This window comes from Homo sapiens, chromosome 2 (genome assembly GCF_000001405.40).
Source record: "Homo sapiens chromosome 2, GRCh38.p14 Primary Assembly".
Classification (NCBI taxonomy): Eukaryota; Metazoa; Chordata; class Mammalia; order Primates; family Hominidae; genus Homo; species Homo sapiens.
In genome coordinates, this window is record NC_000002.12 from 25,548,122 (window position 1) to 25,573,967 (window position 25,846).

At 41.7% G+C, this 25,846-nt stretch overlaps 1 protein-coding gene across 31 annotated transcripts in view, besides 5 other annotated features; it reads right to left on the minus strand.

Annotated features, from left to right (window-relative positions):
* The window catches only part of DTNB (dystrobrevin beta), a 296,335-nt gene that overhangs the window by 170,879 nt on the left and 99,610 nt on the right, over nt 1–25,846 (minus strand). The window contains exon 9 of one of the 31 annotated variants that reach the window (NM_001320937.2): nt 10,068–10,286. The exons of the other annotated variants lie outside the window; for them this stretch is intronic. Within the exon in view, the coding sequence (NP_001307866.1) occupies nt 10,206–10,286 (81 nt within the window). The 3' untranslated portion in view covers nt 10,068–10,205. Of the gene's footprint in view, nt 1–10,067; nt 10,287–25,846 lie in introns of those variants that run through there. 31 annotated transcript variants of the gene reach the window in all.
* Nucleotides 10,051–10,746: an enhancer, noted in NCBI's record as "OCT4-NANOG-H3K27ac hESC enhancer chr2:25781041-25781736 (GRCh37/hg19 assembly coordinates)". NCBI's record gives its function as "activates a minimal SCP1, AML or CMV promoter by ChIP-STARR-seq in primed H9 embryonic stem cells {active_cell/tissue: H9 hESC(primed)}" and the evidence as "EXISTENCE:reporter gene assay evidence [ECO:0000049][PMID:30033119]".
* Nucleotides 15,483–15,627: an enhancer, noted in NCBI's record as "145 bp 2:25786543 sequence used in MPRA reporter constructs". NCBI's record gives its function as "activates a minimal TATA-containing promoter with rs55982007 allelic activity by MPRAs in UACC903 melanoma cells {active_cell/tissue: UACC903}" and the evidence as "EXISTENCE:reporter gene assay evidence [ECO:0000049][PMID:36423637]".
* Nucleotides 15,554–15,555: a transcriptional cis regulatory region, noted in NCBI's record as "rs55982007 or 2:25786543 MPRA-significant variant associated with a GWAS melanoma risk locus at 2p23.3". NCBI's record gives its function as "allelic transcriptional activity by MPRAs in UACC903 melanoma cells {active_cell/tissue: UACC903}" and the evidence as "EXISTENCE:reporter gene assay evidence [ECO:0000049][PMID:36423637]".
* Nucleotides 16,355–16,499: an enhancer, noted in NCBI's record as "145 bp 2:25787416 sequence used in MPRA reporter constructs". NCBI's record gives its function as "activates a minimal TATA-containing promoter with rs58031038 allelic activity by MPRAs in C283T melanocytes {active_cell/tissue: C283T}" and the evidence as "EXISTENCE:reporter gene assay evidence [ECO:0000049][PMID:36423637]".
* Nucleotides 16,427–16,438: a transcriptional cis regulatory region, noted in NCBI's record as "rs58031038 or 2:25787416 MPRA-significant variant associated with a GWAS melanoma risk locus at 2p23.3". NCBI's record gives its function as "allelic transcriptional activity by MPRAs in C283T melanocytes {active_cell/tissue: C283T}" and the evidence as "EXISTENCE:reporter gene assay evidence [ECO:0000049][PMID:36423637]".

Genomic DNA, 25,846 nt, shown 5'->3' on the forward strand with positions numbered 1-25,846 from the left:
TTTCAATAATTTTTAGGTTCATTTTTATTACTCTTCTACTTCAGATTTATCAGTACTTCTTTCAGTTTCAGAGTACTGAAATCTAGGTTCCTCTATTTTCAATCTTTTCTTTCCTAGAAAGTACATGTAAGGTTATGATTTTTCATCAAGTATCATTTGAGATGTAAAGCATAGGTTTAGGTACATTGTGCTTTTCCAGTCATTTAATTTTGTTAATTTTGATTATGAATTCTTGTCATTCCATAAAGTTAGAAGTTTATATTCTTTTAAAATTCAAGATGTGTGTTAAGGTTTTTTTTTTTTCCTTTCTGTTGTTAATTTCCAATTTTACTGCATTGTGGTCAGGGAGGCTTCTTCCTAAGAACAGAAGGAGGTGAGGGAGGGAAGCACATGGACATCTGGGGAATGGGCTCTCCAAGCAAAAGGAAGAGCAAGTGCGAGGCCCTAAAATGCAAGTTTGCCTGGTGTGTTGAAAGAATGGCAAGATGTGAGCGCAGTCAGCCTGGAGTGGAGTAAGGGGGAGTAGGGCAGAAGATGAGCTGAGAGGTAAGGGGGTCAGGTGGGCTAGTGCCTTCTATGCCACTGTAAGGACTGTGGCTTTTACCCTGAATGAGGTGACAAGCTCTTGGAGTGCATCCAGCAGATAAGGATCTGATGCTTTTAGCAGAACCATTCTGGCTGCTATATTTAGAACAGACTGAAGGGAAAAGGGCAGAACCGGGGACATCACTCAGAAAGCCTCTGTAATAATTACTTATGTATATGTTTACATACACATAAATACATACACCCACAAACATGCAATGTTACTAAGAGCAGGATAAACAGGCTTGTGCTGACACCAATTCTTGACAAATTTCACTTTCTAGCATTTGAAGTCTCCCTCGGTCCATCCCAATGTTGCCTGCTTTGAGTTGTTTTGTCTCATGTTAATATTTTGTAAAATTATAATATATGTAATAATATTTATTGTTAACTGTATCCTCTAACATAGCACCTAAGTGGTTTTTGTTGTTTTCTTAAATCTGAGTTTTTATCTTGTAAGTAGATGAGTTTAGTTTTTCCATTTATTTTGATTACTGATATATATATCAGTAATATATATTTGATTATGAATATACATATATCAATATATACATTTAAATTTAATCATAGGACTTATTTTGTATCTTCTATTTTTCATGACTTTCTTTTCTCCTACTTTCCTGTCTTCTCTTGGATTGGTCAAGGTTGTTTTTGCTACTGTTATCTTATAATAGGTTTAAAGTTTATATTTTATATCTAACTTGTCTAGTAGTCACCCTTAAATTTTTAATGCATACTTAAAATAATATTTTCTTACAAGTTGGAGTTACATTTTATATAGTCCTCTTGAATTCTTTGGCATGTTTTTATTTCCCTTTTTGCTCCACCTACCCATAAAATTCCTTGTTGCTAACTTTGTTGACCTAAATTGCAACTTATTAAAAATCATCTTATATTTTACAACCAACATTTGCTTAGATGGACCATTGTTGTTTTCCTGATTTATTTGCTTCCTTCTTTTTTCTTGGATCCCATTATTACCTTCTGGGTTCATTTTCTTTCTTACTGCAGTGGAGTAATCATGGCTCACTGCAGCCTTGACCTCCTGAGCTCAAGCAATCCTCCCACCTCAGCCTGCCAAGTAGCTGGGACTACAGGCATGCACAACCACACCCGGCTAATTTTTGTATTTTTTGTAGAGATGGGGTTTCACCACATTGCCCAGGCTGGTTGCGAACTCCTGAGCTCAAGTGATCCTCCTGCCTCACCCTCCCAAAGTGCTGGGATTACAGGTGTGAGCCACTGTGCCCAGCCAGTATATCTTTAAACAGTTTTTCCAGCAAAGTCCTTAAAGTCTGAGAATGCTACTGTGGTACACTTGCTGCTGAAAGCTAGTATGGATGGGATAGAATTTTAGTTCAGAGTTACTTCTCTCAGCAGCTTAAAGACGCTATGCTATTGTTGGCCGGGCGCGGTGGCTCACGCCTGTAATCCCAGCACTTTGGGAGGCCAAGGTGGGCGGATCACGAGGTCAGGAGATCGAGACCATCCTGGCTAACACGGTGAAACCCCGTGTCTACTAAAAATACAAAAAATAAGCCAGGCGTGGTGGCAGGTGCCTGTAGTCCCAGCTACTCGGGAGGCTGAGGCAAGAGAATGGCGTGAACCCGGGAGGCGGAGCTTGCAGTGAGCCGAGATCGCGCCACTGCACTCCAGCCTGGGTGAAAGAGCGAGACTCTGTCTCAAAAACAAAAACAAAAACAAAACAAACAAACAAAAAAAAACACGGTGCTATTGTTTTCTTAAAACCAGTGATGACATCTAGCACTTGAATTTCAATTCTTTTGAAGACCATCAGTCTTTTCTCTCCAGTGTTTCCTAAGAATTTCTCTTCATCATTATCACAATGATGCCTATTCTATTTAATATTTGAGGGCTTATACCTTTTCAGTACTGGAAATTCTAGAATATTTTCAGATGTTCTGAAATAATTTTCAGACATTCTAGAATATTTTCAGACCTCAATTTTTCTTTTCTTTTTTACTCAGGCTGGAGTGCAATGGCGTGATCTTGGCTCACTGCAACCTCCGCCTCCTGTATTCAAGCAATTCCCCTGCCTCAGCCTCCTGAGTAGCTGGAACCACAGGCACGTGCCACCACACCCGGCTAATCTTTGTATTTTTAGTAGAGATGGGGTTTCACCATTTTGGCCACGCTGGTCTCAAACTCCTGAATTCAAGCAATCTGCCCACCTCGGCCTCCCAAAGTGCTGGGATTATAGGCGTGAGCCACAGCACCCAGCTGAGACCTCAATTTTTCAAACATTGTCTCTGGTCAATTTTCTTCACTGACAGCTCCTATTAGATAAATAATGGAACTTCCACACTGTCCCAAATGCCTCAACTTTTCCTTCATACTCTATTTCTTATCTCTTGATGCTGAGTTTTGGAAGAACTTCTTCTCACCCTGATCTTTTAGTTAACTCATTTGTTCTTTAGCTACATCCAATTTGCTATGTAGCCCATCCAATGAGTTTACTTTAACAACTATATTTTTCATTTTCACGACTGCCTGTTTATTATGATTTCTGCTTGTTTTAATGCGCATGAAAGTCTATCCTTGGTCTTCTAAGGAAATTATATTTACCTATATTTAAAGTTTCCTGATTGCTCTGCTTCCTAGGGTATAAATCTGCTTTTGATATTTCATATGTTCATATTTTATATTGTTGTGCTAGGCTTCCCCTGGATTTTCATGGTTGTTGGCCATGCAAACATCCTCCAGGACTGACCACTTGCAATGTGAGTCAACAGTGGCCTCCCGGCTGGGGATCCTTGGCTGAATCTGTTCTGAAGGAGTTGGCTGAGCAGCTTCAGGGTCCCAGCAGTACTGAGAACTTCCTCCAGGCAGTGTTAGCGGTTCCCTTCTGCAACTTCTCATTTTAACACATACCACCTTCACTTAAAGATATCTTACAGCTTTGGGTATGGAACATTTCTTATTTTTAATCTGGAAAGGGAATTTATTAATCTAACTTAATGTCTTACCATTTCTATGGATTTGGTGTAGAAACAGGACAAGGTCAGGATGTGCTTGGTCAACCATCTTGAAACTGGATCTATTGCTTAAGTATCATCTCTCTGCATTTTCTTTAGCCTCTATCTGGAACTCTTATTAGAAGGAACTCCTCAATCCATCCTCTACACTTTGTTTTCTTTTACTTTATAATAATAGTAATGTACTAAGGAATACTTCTCTGTTCTAGCTTCCAGCTCACAAATTTGTTCTTCAGCTATAAACCCTGTTAATCAGCTCATCTATTTAATTTCTTATTTTAACAATCAAACATTTAATTTCCAGGATCACTACTTAATTATTTTTGGTAGAAAACATAACTGCTCATATCTCTCTGAGGAATTAACTATAGTTGCTGCAAAATCTAGTTCTGCTTATTCTATTAATTCTATTTCTAAGATAAATTCTTTTGTTACCTCCTCAGTTATCTTCTCCAGTTGTGTTCCTCTCATTTGGGGTGATTTTTAACTAAGTGCTCAGTTTTGTAGTCAAGACTTCCTGTTCAGACATCTACTCTGTGTGCTGCCTGCCTGGAGGGCAGGAATGGGAGTTGTTTTCAGTGAGAGTGAAAGAGGGATGGAAGGTGCCACCTCATTGAAAAGCTTTATAGCTAGTCTTCTTAGCAAGGTAGCTTCCTGTTTTCCTAGAATCCATCCAGCACCTGGAACCCTACCTTGTCTCTGCAATCCAAGCTCCTATATACTCTACACCTGCCTGAGACACCTCCATCACCATGCTACACTTCCAGCATTGCCCTGTCACTGGCCCTGGGCCCCTCACAGCTCCCCGCAGCAACTACTTCCAAGCAAGAACACTGACGACACTATCCCCATCATTAGCAGCAATGCTCGCCTGCCCTGGTTCTGGACTCAGGTTTCCTTTTGCAAACAGATCTCATCTACTTTTCACAGAGATTCTTCAGAGCCTGAGGCCTACTAAGGGTTTCCTTTCCTTCCGCCTGCCCTGCCCATTGTACTTACAGATTACTTTAAAAATTCTAATCTATCTAAGCCTCAGAAGTAAGGTGCCCTCCGTCTACCACTTTGAAATTCCCATTTCTTTTTATACAATTAAAGTTCATAAAAATTTATTTTGAAAATTATATAATTTCTCTTTTTGATTTTTTTTTTTTTTTTTTTTTTTTTTTTTTGAGACGGAGTCTCGCTCTGTCGCCCAGGTCGGACTGCGGACTGCAGTGGCGCAATCTCGGCTCACTGCAAGCTCCGCTTCCCGGGTTCACGCCATTCTCCTGCCTCAGCCTCCCGAGTAGCTGGGACTACAGGCGCCCGCCACCACGCCCGGCTAATTTTTTGTATTTTTAGTAGAGACGGGGTTTCACCTTGTTAGCCAGGATGGTCTCGATCTCCTGACCTCATGATCCACCCGCCTCGGCCTCCCAGTTGATATTTTTTTAAGAGATGGGATCTCACTATGTTGCCCAGGCTGGTCTCAAACTTCTGGGCTCTAGCAATCCTCCCACCTTAGCCTCCCGAGTAGCTGGGAGTATGCCTATAGTCATAGGCATGTGACACATCACTCAACCAATATGTTATTTTATAAAAGGCTTCAAAATAACTGCAATAAAAAGTGAAAAATTAGAATTGCTAAGCTCCAGTTTAACTGGTAAGCTATAATTTTGATTAACATATGAGAGAAATATAATCCATGTAATTTTTGTTAATCTTCCAAGACTTAGGAGTTTTAGCTCACAGTAATAAAAATACGGCTAGGTAGGGCTGGGTGCGGTGGCTCATGCTTGTAATCCTAGCACTTAGGGAGGCTGAGGCAGGTAGATCACCTGAGGTCAGGAGTTTGAGACCAGCCTGGCCAACATGGTGAAACCCCATCTCTACTAAAAATACAAAAAAATTAGCCGGGTGTGGTGGCAGGCGCCTGTAATCCCAGCTACTCAGGAGGCTAAGGCAGGAGAATCACTTGAACCTGGGAGGCGGAGGTTGCAGTGAGCTGAGATGGCGCCACTGCACTCCAGCCTGGACAACAAGAGCGAAAACTCCTTCTCAAAAAAAAAAAAAAAAAAAAAGGCTAGGTAGAATAAAATGTAATTTGTTCACATATCTGAAACATGCTTATAGATTACAAAAACCCCTTAACCCACGAAAAAGAAGCCACTGTTATTCCAACTGGTTCAACAACAGCCAAGGAGGGAGCTACATAAGGACAGCTGCATCTTGTGCTCAGCGGCAAATAGCTTTGGCTTCCCTTTCGAGAAAAAAAATACAAAGATTTGCTAGAATTCAACATCAGTAGACTGACACATTACTAGATCTGTCATGATAGCCAATATAAATTTATGGTTCCATACACACCAACCCTGGGGCTAAGAAGGGTATCCTTGAAATACGAATAACTGCTACATGAAATGCTAATACTTTTAAAACTGAAAAAGCTGTGAATGTGTATAGGGAAAAACAAAGCTTTTGACCAAAGTTCAAGGCCAAGCTTTGCTCCTAATTGGGCTGTCATCAATTTAGCCTGGGTGGGAAGCATTCAAATGGAGACAGGGGGATGAGGTGAGTACACACAACAGGGAAAAATGTTGCACTGAGTATTGGCTTTTCTATTAAACATTAGTTTAATATCATGGACAGAATTTATTTTCTCTATATAGTTTTAACCAGCAGTTCATAGTCTCATTTTTTTTTTCAAAAAATTTATTGAGAATTTTACTGCTTTACAAGAGAATTAAAGGTAATATATTACCCATAAGTAAAGCTCATATATTGCTGGTAGGAGTGTAAAATAGTAAAGCCAGCTTGGAGAGTAATTTAGCAATATCGAATAAAACTGAAAATGCACACTCCTCTCGTCCCAAGGATTCCACTCCTAAAAACAAGAGAAACTCTCCACGCTGCACCAGAAGACTTGTACCAGAAAATCCACTGAAGCTGTGTTTGGAAAAGTAGAAAATTAGAAACAAGCTAAATGTCAATCAATAGGAGGATAACAGGTGTGGATTCTATATGGCACTGAAAATAACCACATCAACATGGAGATCATTTGAAAAAGAATGCAGGTTAAAAAAGGAAACTGTTGTAGGGTACATGCACCATGATGCTATTTTGATGAAGTTTAAAAACATGAGATACAACACCATAAATTATGAATGGTCACATACATATGAGTAATAAAAAACAAAAATATAAATGAAAATACTAAACACCAAATTTAAAATAGAGGTTATCTCTGAGGAAGGAGGAAAATGGGTTTGGAGGATATGGAGAGCTTCAAATTTCTCTGTAATGTTTTCTTTCTTTTTTTTAAAAAAAGATCTGGGCGAGGTACAGTGGCTCATGCCTGTAATCCCAGCACTTTGGGAGGCCGAGGTGGGCGGATCACGAAGTCAGGAGATCGAGACCATCCTGGCTAACACGATGAAACCCTGTCTCTACTAAAAATAAATTAGCTGGGTGTGGTGGCGGGTGCCTGTAGTCCCAGCTACCTGGGAGGCTGAGGCAGGAGAATGACATGAACCCAGGAGGCGGAGCTTGCAGTGAACGAAGATCGGGCCACTGCACTCCAGCCTGGGCGACAGAGCAAGACTCCGTCTCCAAAAAAAAAAAAAAAAAACAAAAAGGTCTGAAGCAAATCCAGCAAAATGTTAAAAAGCCAATAAAGTCTTTTCTATATGCTTGATATATTTCATAATAAGAAATTATATATTACTTGCTAGTTCAAAAAAGGATAACTCAGACATTCCAGAGGAAGACAAATTAAATGAATACTGAATATTACACATCATTGAAAAAAATCAAGTAATTTAAATAGCATAACTTGATAAACAGGGCTTTTTTCCTTTGCATACTATTCTAGACAATTTCCTATGCATAAATAAGAAAAATAATAAACACACACAAAATCAAATCTATTCTTACAAAACTGAGATCATTATATATACTGCTATGTAACTTGCTTTTCTCATTCAATATGAACCTCTTTCCACATCGATTCCACTTATTATGACTACCTATTTAATATGAAATAGATCTTTCCTGGCTGGGTACAGTGGCTCACTCCTGTAATCCCAGTCCTTTGGGAGGCTGAGGCAGGTGGATCACCTGAGATCAGGAATTCAAGACCAGCCTGGCCAACATGGTGAAACCCCATCTCTACTAAAAATACAAAAAAGAATTAGCAGGGCATGGTGGCGTGTGCCTGTAATCCCAGCTACTTGGGAGGCTAAGGCAGGAGAATCACTTGAACCCAGGAGGCGGAGGTTCCAGTGAGCTCAGATTGTGCCATTGCGCTCCAGCTTGAGCAACAGAGTGAGATTAAGTCTCAAAAAATATAAAAATAAATAAAATAAAATAGATCTTTCCAGATCTATTTCACTTATTATGACTACCACACAGAATCCCATAGTAAGTACATACCATAATAAACTTAATCATTTCACTACTAATGGATGTTTTGGTGTTTTGGCCATCTCTCTTTTTTTTTTTTTTTTTTTTTGCCATCACAAATAACGCTGCCATGATACTCTATGATACTCTCCTACAAAAATCCTAGTATACTTGGTACAAGTGTTTTTTCTGGGAGAATTCCTATATGAGGAACTGTTAGGTCAAAGGTTACATGCATTTAAATTCTGTCACCTGCATTTATCTATTCATACTCCTACCAAGAATCTTCAAGAGTTCTCCTCTGTACACCCTTGCCAAAACTGAATATTATCAATCTCCTACATTTTTTGCAAGTTGGCTGGGCATAAAATGAACATTTCCAAAATCGAAAGTAATTTAAAACTGGAACAAGTGGAAAATGCCAACTTTCATAAAGTTCTTCAATAAACGTTGATTATGTGTAGCAGGTAATTGGGATGCAAAGGCTGAAAATAAACTGAGGACTTACAATCTAATGAAATATATAGACAAATAAGCAGATTCTATGAAGATGATTATAACAGTGTGAAAAGTGCTTTAAAAGAGGTATTCAGTGTGATATAGCGGGCCATGAAGAGACACATCAAACCACTCGGAGAATCAGAAAAAGTAGTGATACCTGAGCTAATTAAAGGATATACAGAGGTTGGTAAGGGAAAGCTGGGAGGATGGGGAGAAGAGGAGATAAAGGAAACTAGAATCGCAGATTCAAAAACATAAAACTAAGAAAATATAGTGTATTAGGCAACTGCAAATAGTTTAACACTGTCATAGTGCTGCCTGTGAGTGGAAGACATAAATAAGAGTCTCAGACCAAAGACATAACTGTAAAAGCTTTCAAAACATTACTCTGTAAGAAAAAACTTTCATGTGTTATAAGTCATCTTTGTATTAGAAGTTGCTTCTCGAATACAGACAGCAGACAGTTCTCTGGCACTCAAATGCAGTAATGGGTTCCATGGCAGAACTGAAGTAGGAAGGAGTGTGACCAATATTTCAGGTTTAGGTAAACAAAAGTTCTAGTCAGCTAAAACCAAAAAAAGCAGAGCACACAAATACTATGGAAGTAGATCCACAGGCAGCCAGGATCCCAAGAAAGGCAGACTGGAGTTAGAGGGAGTATGAGAGTTGGAAGACTAAGAGGTCTTCCCATGTGCTTCTGTGTATGGTGGCACTCTCCAGGGCCTGGAACTGAGATGTCACTGAATGAATACCAGGACAGAAAGCTCGCTGCCCTGTTTAGACAGCCCATTGTATCGCTACACCGGACACATCACAGTTCCAAAGCTGTCACAAGTGCTACCACAGGTCAAAATAGGAGGAGAGCCAGCAGTCCACTGACATCACACATGGTACAGACACACTAAAAGCAGCAACAAAAGACTATCACAACTATTATTTAGCACTGCTCTAAAACAGTGTTTTCCAAAGTTTTCTCAAGATAAAAAATGTCCAGGGCCTTTGTTTAAAAAATAAAACAAAGCAGATTCCTCAGCCTCAACCCAGACCTACTAATATTCCCAAGGGTGAAGGCCTGGGACTTTGTATATTTAACAAACAGCCCAGGTGATTCTTTCCAGGGAATTCTGGGAAGCACTGCTTCCCCACAAATTAGAAGTTCTTACTAACACAAAGAGGTAAAAAATTGAGACAGGGGTAAAACTATCAGAAAGTGATTCAGTTGCTGCTTCCTACAGATGATGTAATTATCTACTTGGAAGTCCAAGAAAAGGAACTGAAAAATTATTAGAACCACATATTGACAGAAGAACCAGTGAGACTTCAAGACAGAAATGTCCATGAGATCTCTGAATGTAGGAGTCTTAACCTAAACAAGAAGAACGAGCTGGAACTAAGAACTGCAGAAATTTATTAGCGTCTGGGGTGGAGTGAGGGGCATGTAAAAGCCGGAACTGTGAGAAAACATTCAGAAAGAAGGTGTGCAAGAGAATGCCGGGGAGCACAGGATCTGGCTCATCAAAGGCGATCCAAAGGCTTAATGAGTAATTAACATGCACATTTCATAGCTAGACATTTCGTAGTCACTAAATGAAGATATACAACATATAACACACATGGATTAAATTTATTTAGAGAAAGAGTTCAACCCTAAATCTGTACCTGTAGATCTCAGAAAGCATGAGGTATTCAGGCAATAATCACTGATAAATTTGAGTTAATGCAGAAACAGATAAGCAATTCACACTACTGGGTCACAGAGAACACAGTGATCTTCCCACACATGGAAGCAGAAGATGCACTCTCCAGTGCAGCTCTGGTGGCCATCTGCAAGAACAAAAAAAAGATCTAAAGTTGACAAAAGGGCTGTGGCTAAGTGATGACTGCCACAGGAAATTGCTCATTTGAAGAACTGCTTGGTTTAAGCTAAGTCATACACTTCTTTGTAATGGAAAAACCTCCTTGTCATCGCTCTAAGAATAATCAGGCTACAGTTGAAAAAATGCCTTATTGTTTCATAAACTACACACCAATTCTTTATTTGATCGCATCCATCTTTTTAAACAGCTGGGTCCATTTTGAATGTTCTCGTTTTAAACTTAGCATTTTTGCAGCTGTAAGTGGTTTTATGAATAAATCGTGCATGCAAACAACACAGTAGAATTGGGCAACGTTCAGATGATTGAAAGGAGCAATATCTAAAACATCCCAAGCAACCTACTGAAAATGCGGATAAAGGTTATCAGGATATCCCAGACTATTCCCCCTAACCCTTGGGGGGCTCTAGAAAGTCCAGAATTTCAAAGGGAGGCCTCTGGTCAACGAAGCAGTCACTTTAGCTCTAAGTCAGCTGTCGAATGGGAGAGTTTCAGAGCACTTCTCCCCAGGCCTCCATAACACCATCAACAAGAGTAAAAAGATGAACCCAGAGCCCTGCATGTTCCTGGCAACCAACACCCTCTCAACTAACACATTGCCACAGTGCCATGATCTGCCTATCTGGGGTTAATTCCAGCACGACCTTTATATCAGGTTATACTTTTTAAAAATAAGAAATCCAAGACTCTCACCTGGTTTTTATTCCTGTGAGGCTCAGTACATCCCCTCACGCGACCCCAATCCTCAACTCTCAAAACCCTTCTCCTTGTCTTCATAGTCCAGCATCGGCAAAATCCCTCCTCTGTCCGAGGCTTACGCATCAACCTCTTCTCTGAATGTTGCTTTCACCTACGGCTCTAGGAGGAAACCTGGCATTCCCTGAAGGCTCAGCTTCCCTGCAGCCATTTCAAGTGGCAGCTGCTTTCTTTCTCACACCCCTCAAACAACTAGACCTCCAGGTGGAGGAGAAGTCCTCCTAGAACCACACTGCCACTCTCAGATCATTTTCCCTTTTCCTTAAAACTCCGATTTTGAATGTCGTATAATCAGACCAAAACCCAAGTTGTCCCTCCTTCGCGGAGTCCAACATTACTACTGTCATAATTCTTGTTGATTTCAACATTTACAGTTGATCTTTCCAATGCACTGATCGTAGTGGGATGAATGACGGCCCCCCAAAAGATATGTCCACATCCTAATCTCTGGAACCTGCATTACCTTATATGGCAGAAGAGTGAATATTACCTTCTATGACAAAATTAACTTAAGAATCTAGATGGGAGAGGAAGCATTTACCCTGGATTACCTGGTTGGGCCCAAAATGCAATCAAATGTATTTTCATATAAGACAGATACACAGAGGAGAAGAGACAGATGAGAAGAAGGCAATGTAACCCAGGAGGCAGAGACTGAAGTGACACAGCCACAAAGTCAAAGAACGCCAACTGCAGCTAGAAGCTGGAAGAGGGAAAGAACAGTGTGATGTTCAATGTACGTGTCAAGGGGCCGGGCGTGGTGGGTGGCTCACGCCTGTAATCCCAACACTTTGAGAGGCCAAGGCGGGTGGATCACCTGAGGCCAGGAGTTCAAGACCAGCCTGGCCAACACGGCGAAACCCCATGTCTACTAAAAATACAAAAATTAGCTAGGCATGTTGGCGCATGCCTGTAATCCCAGCTACTCGGGAGGCTGAGGCAAGAGAATAGCTTGAACCTGGGAGGTTGCGGTGAGCTGAGATTGTGCCTCTGCACTCCAGCCTGGGTGACAAAGTGAGACTCCGTCTCAAAGAAATAATAAAATAAAATAAATTTTATGTGTCAATTTGACTGGGCTATGAGAAGCTCAGATATTTGGTGAAATGCTCTTCTGGGTGTTCCTTTTAGGGTGTTTTGCATGAGATTAACATTTATATTGGTAGACTGTGTAAAAGAGATGGCCTTCCCTAGTGTGGATGACCCTCACCCAATCATTTGAAGGCCTGAATACAACAAAAAGGCTGACCCAGCCCTGAATAAGAAAAAAGTCCTCTTGTCTTCAAACGTCTGCCTTTGGACCCAAACTGAAAGATCAACTCTTTCTAGGTCTGGAGCCTGCTGGAACTACCCACCATTGGTTCTCCTGGTTCTCAGGCCTTCAGACCAGGATTGGACCTATATCATCAGTTCTCCTGGGTCTCCAACTTGCCAACTCACCCCGCAGATCTTGGGACTTGTCATCCTCCATAACTGCATAAGCCATTTCCTTACAATAAATCTCACAGACATGCGCGTGCCCACCCTATTGAGTCTGTTTCTCTAGAGAATCCTAATACAAAGAGATACTTTCCTAGAGCTTGCAGAGAGAGTGTGGCTCTGCTGACACTTCGATTTCAAACTTGTGTCCAGCACTGTGAGAGGGTTTAGGACCCCAGGTTGGTGGTAGTTTGTTATGGCCTCCACAGGAAGCTAATATATCTGTTAATACATATGTCCTCTCTGAATTCTTCTTCAGCAACTGTTCTCCCACCCTATGTTGGCTGCCATTTCTAGTCACCTCCTACCTACAACATTTTATTGCCAGTTACTGTACATTACCTGAAATCTCAGTTTCAAGCACCTACTCTCACCAACTTCTGTCTTTCTAGCACATTCCTTCTAGTAGTCTGCCTAGAAAAATACTTCAACCCACTGAACCTATACTACATTGAGCCTACCATCTTTATCTTGTCTCCCTCACGGCCTAATTTCTCTCTTGAACCAAGCTCCATGTCTACATTTGATATTATATTTTCTTTGCACACACTCAACACCCCCCTCCTTGCCACTTCTCTTCCTTCGTCATACTTTTCTATCAAAACCCAACCCTATCCACTCTCTGCCTTCACCCACACAATGTGTGGTGGGAGTGAAATACACAGCTATGCTGACTGGTCTGAAGCTGAATTCACAACTACCAACCTCAAGTTAGTCATTCCAATGTCAGTTTAAATGTCACTACCTCAGAAAGGCTTTCCCTAGCCATCCAATTTAAAATACAAAATAATAGCTTTATTGAGTGATATGGTTTGGATGTGGGTCCCCTCCAAATCTCATGTTGAAATGTGATTCCCAGTGTTAGAGGTGGGGCGTGGTGGGAGGTGACTGCATTATGGGGGCGGATCCCTCAAGAATGGTTTAGTGCCATTCCCTTGGTGATGAGTGAGTTCTCAGTCCACAGGAGAGCTGGCTGTTTAAAGGAGCTGGCTCCTCCTCCTCTCCCCCTCTTGCCCCTGCTCTCGTCCTGTGATCTGCCTGCTTCTGCTATGCCTTCCACCATGATTGTAAACTTCCTGAGGCCCTCACCAGATGCTGAGCAGACATTGGTGCCATGCTTGCACAGCCTGCAGAACCATGAACCAATTAAATTTGTTTTCTTTATAAATTACCCAGTCTCAGGTATTCCTTTATAGTAATGCAAAAAAAGAATACATTGAGATACTATTCATATGCCATAAAATTCACCCACTGTAAAATTCAGTGGTTTTTAATATATTCAAAGAGTTGTACAACCATAACTAATATCTAATTTCAGCACATTTTCATCACTCTAAAAAAGAAACCCAATACTCAGCAGCCACTTCCCATTCCTCCCTCTCCCCAGCCCCCGGAAACTACTAATGTACATTCTGTTCATTTGCCTATTCTGTATATTTCATTCTGTCTCTATGCATTTGCCCATTCTGTACATATCACATAAATGGAGTAACACAATATGTGACATTTTGTGTCTGACTTTTTCACTTAGCATGTTTTCAATGTTCACCTATGTTTTAGTGTGTATCAGTACCTCATTTCTTTTGCTTACCTAATAGTACTCCATTGTATTGATAAACTACACTTTGTCCAGTCACCAGTTGATGGACATTTGGGTTATTTCCACTTTTTAGCTCTTTGGAATAATGTTGCCATGACCATTCACATACAAGTTTTTGTGGAGACATGTATTTTCAGTTCTCAAGGGTGTATACCTAGGAGCAGATTGTTGGATCACATGGTGAGTCTATGTTTAACATTCTAAGAAACTGTTAAACTGTTTTCCAATGTGGCTATACCATTTTATATTCCCACCAACGAAGTATAAGGGTTCTGATTTTTCTACATCCTTGTCAACACTGTTATGGTCAGTCTTTTTTATTTAGCTGTCCTACTGGGTACGAAATAGCACCTCACTGTGTTTTTGATTTGTGTTTCCCTCATGATTATGTTAAACATCTTTTCATGTGCATCTCAACCATTGGTATATCTTCTTTGGAGAAACACCCATTCAGATCCTTTCCCCATTTTTTCCCCCAATTTACTTTTTTTTCTTTTTTTTGAGATGGAGTCTCACTCTGTCACCCACGCTGCAGTGCAGTGGCACAATCTCAGCTCACTGCAACCTCCACCTCCCAGGCTCAAGTGATCCTCCTGCGGCCTCCAGAGTAGCTGGGATTACAGGCACCCACCACCACACCTGGCTAATTTTTGTATTTTGTGTAGAGATGGGGTTTCACTGTGTTGGGCAGGCTGGTCTCAAACTCCTGGAGTCAAGCAATCCATCTGCCTCAGCCTCCCGAAGTGCTGGGATTACAGGCATGAGCCACCATGCCCAGCCTAATCTACATATTTCACTGGTAAAATCACACAACATAAAATTTACCACCTTAACCATTTTTAAGTGTATAGTACAGTAGTAGTGTTAAGTATGTTCACGTTGCCATAACTTTTTCATCGTGCAAATCTGAAACTCTATACTGATGAAACAATAATTTCCCATTTTCTCCTCCCAACTGATAACGACCATTCTATTTTGCCCTTTACCCATTTTAAAACTGGGTTAGTTGGGGTGTTGTTTTTGTTGTTGCTGAGTTTTAAGAGTTCTTTATAATTCTGGATACAAGTCCCTTATCAGATACATGATTTGTAAATATTTTCTACTCAGTGGGTTATCTTTTTACTTTCTTGATGGCACCCTTTGAAGCACCAAAATCTTTAATTTTGTTGAAGTCCAATTTGTCTATTTTTCTTTTGTTGCTTGAGCTTTTGGTAGTATATTTAAGAAGGCACTAACTCAAGGTCATAAAGACTTACATCTAATCTCTTTTTCTAAGAGTTTTATAGTTGTAGCTCTTACATTAAGGGGTCTATAATCCATTTTGAATTCGTGTTTCATATGGTATAAGGCAGGGATCCAAATTCATTCTTTTGCCTGTGAATATCCAGTTGTTGTCTCAGCACCATATTTTGAAAAGACTATTCTTTCCTCCATTGGATGGTCATCACCCTCATTGAAAAATCGACAACAACAAATACAAGGGTTTATTTCTGGAGTCTCAATTCTATCTTCATGCCAGTATCACCGTCTTGATTACTATTGCTTTGAAGTAAGTCTTAAAATCAGGAAGTGTGAGTCTTCCAAATTTGCTATTCTTTTTTTTTCTTTTTTCTTTTTTTGAGACGGAGTCTCACTCTGTCGCCCAGGCTGCAGGCTGGAGTGCAGTGGTGCGTGCGATCTCAGCTTACTGCAAGCTCCGCCTCCCAGGTTCACGCCATTCTCCTACCTCAGCCTCCTGAGTAGCTGGGACTACAGGCACCTGCTACCACGCCCGGCTAATTTTTTGTATTTTTAGTAGAGATGGGGTTTCACCGTGTTAGCCAGGATGGTCTCGATCTCCTGACCTTGTGATCCACCTGCCTCAGCCTCCAAATTTGCTTCTCTTTTTGAAGACTGCTTTGACCATTTTGGATCTCTTGTATTTCTATATGAATTTTAGGATCAGTTTATGGGGTTATGCAGAAAAGCAGTTGAGATTTTCATAGAGACTGCACTGAATCTGTAGATGAATTGGGGAGTACTGTCATTTTAAATGTTAAGTCTTCTAACCCATGAACACAGCATGTCTATTTCCTTAGGTCTTAATTTCTTCTTTTTGTTATTTTTTTTGAGATGGAGTCTCTCTCTGTCACCCACGATGGAGCACAGTGGTGCGATCTTGGCTAACTGCAACCTCCACCTTCCAGGTTCAAGCAGTTCTCCTGCCTCAGCCTCCCAAGTAGCTGGGACTACAGGCACGCGCCACCACACCTGGCTAATTTTTTTTTTTTGTATTTTTAATAGAGATGGGGTTTCACCATGTTGGCCAGGCTGGTTTCAAACTCCTGACCTCAAGTGACCCACCCACCTGAGCCTCCCAAAGTGCTGGGATTATGGGCATGAGCCACCACACTCGGCCTATTTCTTTCAGCCATGTTTTCCACTTTTTAGTGCACAAGTTTAGTACTTCTTTGATTAAATATAATCCTATTTTGTTCTTTTTGATGCTACTGTAAATGAACCTGTTTTCTTAATTTCATTTTCAGATTGTTCATTGTCAATATAGAGAAATATAACTAATTTTTGCATTTTTTGAAGTAGGTTGGTACAAAAGTAATTGCAGTTTTTGCCATTAAAAGTAACGGGGAAACCACAATTACTTTTGCACCAATCTAATATTTTTGTATTGATTTTGTATCTTATAAACTTGGTAAATTTATTATCTATAATGGTTTTTTGTGTGTGTTAGGATTTTCTATATACAAGATCATGTCATCTGTGAAGAGAGGTAGTTTTACTTCTTCCTTTTCAATATGGATGCATTTTGCTTGCTTTCTTGCTTAAGTACCCTGGCTAGGACCTTCAGTACAATGTTGAATAAAAATGGCAGGAGTGGATATCCTTGTCTTTTTCCTGGTTTTAGGGGAAAAGCTTTCAGTCTTTCACTATTAAGTATGATGTTAACTGTGGGTTTTTCTTTCTTAAGAGACAGGGTCTCACTCTGTCACCCAGGCTGGAGTGCCAGTGATGCAATCATAACTTACTGCAGCCTCAACCTCCCAGGCTCAAGTGATCCTCCCACCTCAGCCTCCTGAGTAGGCAGGACTACAAGTGTACACCACCAAGCCCAGCTATTTTTTTTTCATTATTGTTATTATTTTGGTAGAGATAGCGTTTCACTATGTTGCTCAGGCTGGTCTCGAATTCCTGGCTTCAAGTGATTCTCCCTCCTGAGTCTCTCGAAGGGATTAAAGGTGTGAGCCACTCTGACTGACCACTGTGGGTTTTTCATAGATGTCCTTTTTCAGGTTGAGAAAGTTCTCTTCTATTCCCAGTTTATTGCATTTTTTTTTTATCGTGACAGAATTTTGGGTTTTGTCAAATTCCTTTTTCATATTTATTGAGATGATCTTATTTTTCATCCTTTAGTCTGTTAACAAGGTATATTATACTGATTTTTGCATGCAAACCAACTTTTGCATTTCAGGGGTAATTCTCACTTGCTCATGTTGTATAGTCCTTTGTATGTTCTTCCAAATTTGGTTTGCTAATATTACTTTTTTTAAAAAAACTAAGAGATTCAAGACGTAATAGTCTAGAAGTAGCTAATTGGAAAACAGGTAGAAAAATAATCAGGGTGACTAGTGTAGGCAGAATTCTGTTTACCTTCAGCGAACCCTGTCCTTGTATGATCTCTTCCCCTTTGAGTGTGGGTGGAAGCTATAAATATGATAAGCTATCATTCCTTCGATTACATTATGTTATAAGGCAAAAGGGAGATTACACTGGGTGGGCCTGGTCTAATCACATGAACCCCGTAAAAGCCATATTTCTCTGGCTGGTTGCAGGAAAGAAAATCAGAGAGATGCATTCTAGCTGGCCGAGAAGAAAGCAAATGTTCGTGTTGCAAACTGCCTATGGGGGGCCACATGAAAAGAAACTGTAGGCAGCCTCTGGGAGCTGAGACTCATCCTCAGCTGGCCGCCAGCAGGAAAATGGGGACCTCAGCACCACAGGTGCAACTAAACAAATTGTGCGAACAGGGAGCCAGCAGGAGGCCCTCTAAGCCCTAGGTGATAACTACAGCCTCAACTGACACTTCGATTTCAGCTCAGTGACACCTGGAGTAGACAGCCTGGACTTCTGACTTACAAAAACGGAGACAATAAGTTTCCACTATTTTAAGCAGTTAAATTTGTAGTAATTTTTTAATGCAAAAACAAAGTTAAAACAGTAAGCACAAGTCCTGGTTTGTCCAAGATAATCACAGTTTATGCATGTTGTCCCTGCATAATTAATAGTGTCTCCTTTCACACTCAAGTGGGTCTGGTTTTGATGATAAATTACATGGTCACCCTAATAGTCAATCCCTAATAGTCAACAGTCACCCTAATAGTCAATCCCTAATAGTCGATAGTCAATTGACCCTAATAGTCAATGCATGGGATGTGAGAGAATAAATAACCACCTGAAAGGGTTGCAGGGAAGTGGCGTTCTTCCAGGACAGCCAAATTTCAATGGAGACAGGGGGTGGAAGAAATGTGCAGAGAAGCAGTTGAAAGTGAAGGCAGCTTGCTGGCCAAGGACCAGCGGTGCTAAAGGGAAGTGAGCTGTGGAGGACTGACTTATGAGAAAGCTGGGCTGAGGCAGGAAGTACAGACCATGATAAAATGCTGGTGTCACCCAAGACAAGAGGTCAGACAGCTTAAACAAGGACACTGACTGATAGAAGCAGAGACAGGGGGCATGGCAGACCCAGCCTCAGCAGTTTCTTTGAGAAGAGGTGGCCATTGGGTTAAAGGACTTGATTTTGTATATTCTGTTTTTAATTTCTCCATGTGTATGTCTTAGCTCTTGCTTGCCACAAGTGGGGATATTGTCTTATAAGTTAAAAAAAAATTGTCTAGTTTTGTACTTTGCACAAAGTTAATTGTTTAATTATGACACGTGGCTATTTAAAACTGGTCAGGAGCATGCTCAGTAAGCACACCTTTTTCCCATGAATACATATTATCTTTCATAATTCAAGAGATGTGAGGAGAGGGACACCAGTCACATGGAAATTGAACACTGCTTCTGACCAAGATAAGTCAACAATCTCAATTGATCCAGGTCTGTCACGAGAAAATTTGCTCTGACTCCCTGAATGGCTTACTTTTGCTATCACTAATGCCCAAACAACTATGCTGCACATATATAAGCTGTCCATCAACATTTTTTTAAGTAAAGCAATATTTATTTAACAGAGATTGTTAAAGAAATCCAAAATACTTCCTCATTTATAGAAGATTTTGAAGAACACAATAAGTAACTTTGTTCAGAGGTGGACTCTGCCATCTGCTGGGAAGAAAGGTGAAATTTCCATACTATCAACCAGTCAGTTACATAACTACCCTCCATGAAGGCCCTCTACTAACTGTATCTGTGGTACAGGCGTATTTTGTATCAATGGACATACAGAGTGAGAGACTTCCTGCCAAGGAGTAACTAGATGGGAATCAGATCTATCTTGGTAAAGTGAAACCAAGGAAGCAGAGATCTGAATGGAAGGCAGAGAAGGAGGCATATTTGCTATGAGCCTTCCTTGCATATCAAGAAAGGCTGAATGAAGGCTGGGCGCGGTGGCTGACGCCTGTAATCCCAGCACTTTGGGAGGCCACGGTGGGCAGATCATGAGGTCAAGAGATCGAGACCATCCTGGCCAACATGGTGAAACCGCATCTCTACTAAAAACACAAAAATTAGCTGGCATGGTGGTACGCGCCTGTAGTCCCAGCTACTTGGGAGGCTGAAGCAGGAGAATCGCTTGAACCTGGGAAGTAGAGGTTGCAGTGAGCCAAGATCACGCCACTGCACTCCAGCCTGGCGACACAGGGAGACTCCGTCTCAAAAAAAAAAAAAAGAGGAAAAGAAAAGAAAGGTTGAAGAGTTTCAGTTGGGAAAAATGAAAAAGGTCTGGAGATGGATGCTGGTGATGGCCGCACAACAATGTGAATGTCCTTAATGCCACTGAACTATACACTTAAAAATGGTTAAGATGGTAAATGTTATATTACATATATTTTACCACACAATTAATAGGAGCTTGGGAGGGAGGGAAGGAAGTACGCAGGCATGGAGGGAGTTTGGTTTAAAGTGAATCAGAAAAGCACGTATGCCCAGATCAAGGAAAAGGAAGGTTAAGGCTAAAGACCATTTAATAGTGATTTAAAAAAAAACACACACAATTATATACCCAAAATACTTTACTTAAAAAAAACTAACCTATTTAAATATGGTAATAAAAATCCTAGTAAATATTATAGTTAGTTGTTTTAATAAAGTCTTCCTTCAAAAAGTATAATTTAGTAGGAAAACATAATAATCACTATGGTTAAATTAACCACTTATGTGGGAACCCTTGTTCTGATTACAAGGCTTTATCCCATGTGGGACAGAGTGTAATTTCCAAACAGATACTGGGTAGAAGATCACTGCGACAATGTCTCCACCACACAGGCACCTTTGCAATGTGACCCTCCCACAACCATCACCGGCACCATGAGTGGAGTCCCGTTCTCCTCCCCTTCATTCTGGGCTGGCCTCAGTGACTCTTCACATAAGGCAGAACGCAGCAGAAGTGAGGCTGCACTCCTCCCACCGCCTGGGGTGAAAGGCCTGTGCCTCGGCCATGCTCTCCTGGACAACTGCTGTCTGGATGCCTCCTCTAGGGATGCTGTCTCTTAAGACACAGCGGCCAAGAGGTGAGAAGCACAAGCCACATTAAGAGAACACACATAGGTGGCCCCAGTGTCTGTTCCAGCAGATCCCGGCCTTCCCCATCCCAGGGCATTCAGACACAGGAGGGAAGAACCCTCCAGTCACTCAAGCCACATCCTCCAACCCTGGTATTTCAGTCACCCCAGCGAAGGCCCCAGATGGCATGGAGCAGAAAAAAGCCAACCCTCTACCCCATCCAAATCTGCAGGTGTAATCAAATGATTGGTGTTTAATGTCACTAACTTTTGCTGCTTATTATGCAGCAAGAGTCACTGGAACACCACAGTACTGATGGCAAGGTTACTCAAATATTTATCAAGCGTCTCAAAGAAGAAGACTGATATAACCTTGCATGTTTGAATACAAAAATTAATATTTAGTTACTGTCCACTCTCTTATTTCCAGGTAGAGGGACTCTCTGACCCTCACTCACTCCTCTCCTAATCAGACTGGTTGGTTTTAGAGAAGGAAATGAACATGCCTAGATCAACCCCTTCCTCTCCCTTTTTTCTTGGGATCTGCACACTCCGCAGAGAGCACGAATTCTCCTCTCCACCCAGATCCATAAATGTTCAGGATCTGCTCCCTGCTGGAAATGCCAGCAGTTGGGTGGGGGTATATTTGATTCGGGGGCTACTGGCAAGTCCACAGTTTCCCCACAATTAAAACTACTTTCTCAAACAGACTGCCATTTGCCTAACTCCTGGCTGTCATCTTGTGGGGAGGAAAAGTGAAGTGCAACTAATGAGTCTTCTAAAATTCCAATAGGAACTACTATTAGAAATGGTGGCCGGGCGTGGTGGCTCAGACTGTAATCCCAGCACTTTGGAAGGCCGAGGCGGGCAGATCACCTGAGGTCAGGAGTTTGAGACCAGCCTGGCCAACATGGTGAAACCCTGTCTCTACTAAAAATACAAAAATCAGCCGAGCGTGGTGGCGGGCGCCTGTAATCCCAGCTACTCAGGAGGCTGAGGCAGGAGAATCACTTGAACCTGGGAAGGGGAGGTTGCAGTGAGCCGAGATCGTGCCCCTGCATTCCAGCCTAGGCAACAAAGCAAGACTGCATCTGGAAAAAAAAAAAAAAAAAGGAAATGGTGTTGGAGGGCTGGGCTCCATGGCTTATGCCTGTAATCCCAGCACAGGAAGGTAGAGGTGGGCAGATCACTTGTGCTCAGCTCAGGAGTCTGAGACCAGTCTGGGCAAAACTAGCAAAACACTGTCTCTACAAAAATTATCTGGGAATGGTGGCACACGACTGTAGTCCCAGCTACTCAGGAGGGTGAGGTGGGAGGACTGCTTGAGCCCAGGAGGTCAAGGCTGTAGTGATCCATGATCACGCCACTGCACTCCAGATGGACAATAGAGTGGTTTCCTGTCTCAAAAAAAAAAAAAAAAAAAAAAAAAGAAGAAAAAAAAATGGGTTAGAAATAGATATTCATTTATTCATTAGGAGACTTAGCTATTCTAGCTGTCTCCATCTTTCTTAAACCTACTTTAATCGGTTTTTGCCCCCATCACTCCACAGAAACTGTTCTCCAGACAATCTCCACATTGTTAGACAAAGGGTCAGTTCTTATTCCTTACTTGACTGTTGGCAGCATTTGACACAGTTGATCACTTCCTCCTCCTCAAAACACATTCTTCACTTGTTTTCCAGAACACACACTCTCCTGGCTTTCATCCCACCTCACTGGAGGCAGGATCTTCCTCTTCTCCCAGATGTCCTCATATTGAAGAGCTTCAAGGGTCAGTTCTTACTCCTCTTTTTCCTGCTCTATCTTCACTCATTCTCTTCATGGTGTAAGTGGTATCACCCAGTCTCATGGCTATTTTAAATATACGCCATTGACTCCCAGATTTATACTTCTATCTCAGACTTCTCTCTTAAACTCTAGACTCATAATATACAATGACCTCAACAACTCCATATGGACGGATATCTAATAAGCAACTTAAGTTCAACATGTCCGGAACAAACGGTGAATCAAGGTTCATCCTTGATCCTAACATCTAAATGCTCTCCATCCACAGCATTCCCCATCTCAGTCTATGGCAATTCCATCCTTCTATGCTCAGGACAAAATCTTAGACTTTTCCTTGACTCCTCCGCTCTCACAAGCCACATCCAACCCATTAGGCTGATGTATACAACATATTGTAATTCAATCCTTTTTACAACCTTTACTACTGTCCGACCATATCTTGTTTTAATTATCATTAGAATTTCTCCTAAATGGTCTCTCTGCTCCTCTCTTTCTTTTCTACTGTCTACTCTTTACATGGCATCTAGACTGACCATTTAAAAATATAAATCATATCATGTTATTCTTCTATTCAAAACCCTATAAAGACTCCTCATTTCACTCAGAGTAAAAGTCCTTACAATGGTCAATGGGCCCACATTAATGTTTTCACCTTGTCTCCTACAATCCTCCCCTGCTCATTGCATTCTGGCCATGCTGGCTTCTTTCCCTGGATTTACAGGTATACCCCTACCCTGAACACTACCTCTTCTCTTCCCCAGATCTCTGCTGGTAAACTTCTAAGAGTGCTCAAATCTCATTTTCTCAACAAGGCCTATATGACTTCCCTATTCAACCTCCAATCTCCCCAGCCCTAAGTTCCTGACTCCACTTGCTACTCTGCTCATGTTAGAGTCCCATGCAGGTTGGCAGAAGGGCTGTGCTCCATCCATGCAGGTGCCCAGCCTCCTCCATCTGAGGACTTCTGCCTCAGCCAGTTCCTTTGGAGACCATTCTATTTGGTCAATGTATATCGGCAGTGGGGGGTAAAGACAGAGGCACACCTGCTTCAAACTGCCTTGGCTGAGAAGCGATATATATATATATAATATACAACATACCCTCCTTGTGGCCAGATGGGCCTATATGACTAGTTCTCTCCAGTGGAATTTAAGCAAAGGAAACCGTGGATACTACTGAAACTTCAATCTTCAGGTACCTTTTTGTTCCCTTTTCTTATGCACAGAGCACCCTTGCCTCCTCCCACCATGCCACACATGCCCAGGCAGAACACGTGCAGTCCAATTCAGTCGGTGCATCCAGGATCTCTGGATATGGCACAGTCTTCTTCATAAGGATCATACAGAACTCCTTAAGATGCAATCTATGAACTAAAAAGGCAAACTATCTGCACCAGGCCGGGCGCGGTGGCTCACGCCTGTAATCCCAGCACTTTGGGAGGCCGAGGCAGGTGGATCACGAGGTCAGGAGATCAAGACCATCCTAGCTAACACGGTGAAACCCTGTCTCTACTAAAAATACAAAAAATTAGCCAGGCGTGGTGGTGGGCACCTGCAGTCCTAGCAACTCAGGAGGCTGAGGCAGGAGAATGGCGTGAACCCAGGAGGCGGAGCTTGCAGTTAGCCGAGATCGCGCCACTGCACTCCAGCCTGGGCGACAAAGCGAGACTCCATCGCCAAAAAAAAAAAAAAAACTATCTGCACCGTCCCTTCCTGCTCCCAATATACAACGGTGGAGCCGGAGCAGGAGTTTCTTCCTTATCCGATATCCTTCTGGGCCAGGTGGGCTCTGGCATACCCTCCAGAGGGGCTGCACAACCTTCACAACCCATCAACCTACCCTGCCAGACCAAGTTCTCAGAGGTTTTTTGTTTTTTTTTTTTTAAATAGTAGTTTTATAGCTCAAATATTTAAGGGCTTGTTCAGTTCAGGCTCATAATTTCTTTGCCAATGTAATTCCCTCAGAAACTTAGTAGGCCTTTGATCTATTTGTTTCCAGTTGATTCCATGTGCCAGTAACCACACACAAAAAGTTCTTTCCTAAGACTAATGTAGTTCTTTGCCACTTGCTTTCAACTAACAGAAGCCACCTGGAGGCCATATGAACAAGGTCAGTTGCTTCTGGCTTTGGCTGTATGATAGAATCACTTGGGGAACTTTTTTTTTTTGAGATGGAGTTTCACTCTTTTTGCCCAGGCTGGAGTGCAATGGCACGATCTCGGCTCACTGCAACCTCAACCTCCGCCTCCCAGGTTCAAGCGATTCTCCTGCCTCAGCCTCCAAGTAGCTGGGATTACAGGCACCCGCCACCACACCCAGCTAATTTTTTGTAATTTTAGTAGAGACAGGGTTTTACCATGTTGGCCAGGCTGGTCTCAAACTCCTGACCTCAGATATCTGCCCGCCTTGGCCTCCCAAACTGCTCGGATTACAGGAGTGAGCCACCATGCCCGGCCCACTTGGGGAACTTTTAAAAACTGTTTATATCCAGGGTTTCATGTACCTCAGACCAATAAATCAGAATCTCTGCAGGCAGAACCAAAGGGGATTCTGATAATCAGCCAAGAAAAAGAGACCATACCCTTCATCTGATCTTTACCACAGGACTGGGTCACCTTTTTCAACTGAGAAGGTCTACTAGGACTTTGTGGCTTAAAGCCTTTCTCAACTCTTAAGGCTTTCTCTCTAGGGTCTGGAAGCAGTCTGTTTTTCCTTTCACTGCCCCAAGAGTCAGAGCTTTCTCTGTTCCCTTTCATTTATTGCTTGTACACTAGCCAATTCTTTCTAAGCTCATCTCTATCCTATGTCACCTTACCATTAACAGTCTCACATTCTGATCTTTTCCAACACTTGACCTAGAGCCCGGTGGGTGTGAGGCGTGCCTTCCAAATTATCACAGATGACACATTTACCAAATTGGTTACCACTATATAACATGGGTTTCTGACTTTCCCTCTCCAATGTCAGTTTCCTCATCAAGTGTGCCACGTGACTGCTAAGACAATAACACACATCTTAAGATTTTAACAGAACTCTACTTCTAGTACTAAAATTTCAGTGACTTAACGCAAAGTTCTTATCATGCCTCCATCACAGTCAAGTGGGTTGCTGGATATTCTTCTCCATCCATCATTCAAGGACCCAGTTACCTTTCGCTTAATGGTTTCACCCTCCGCGG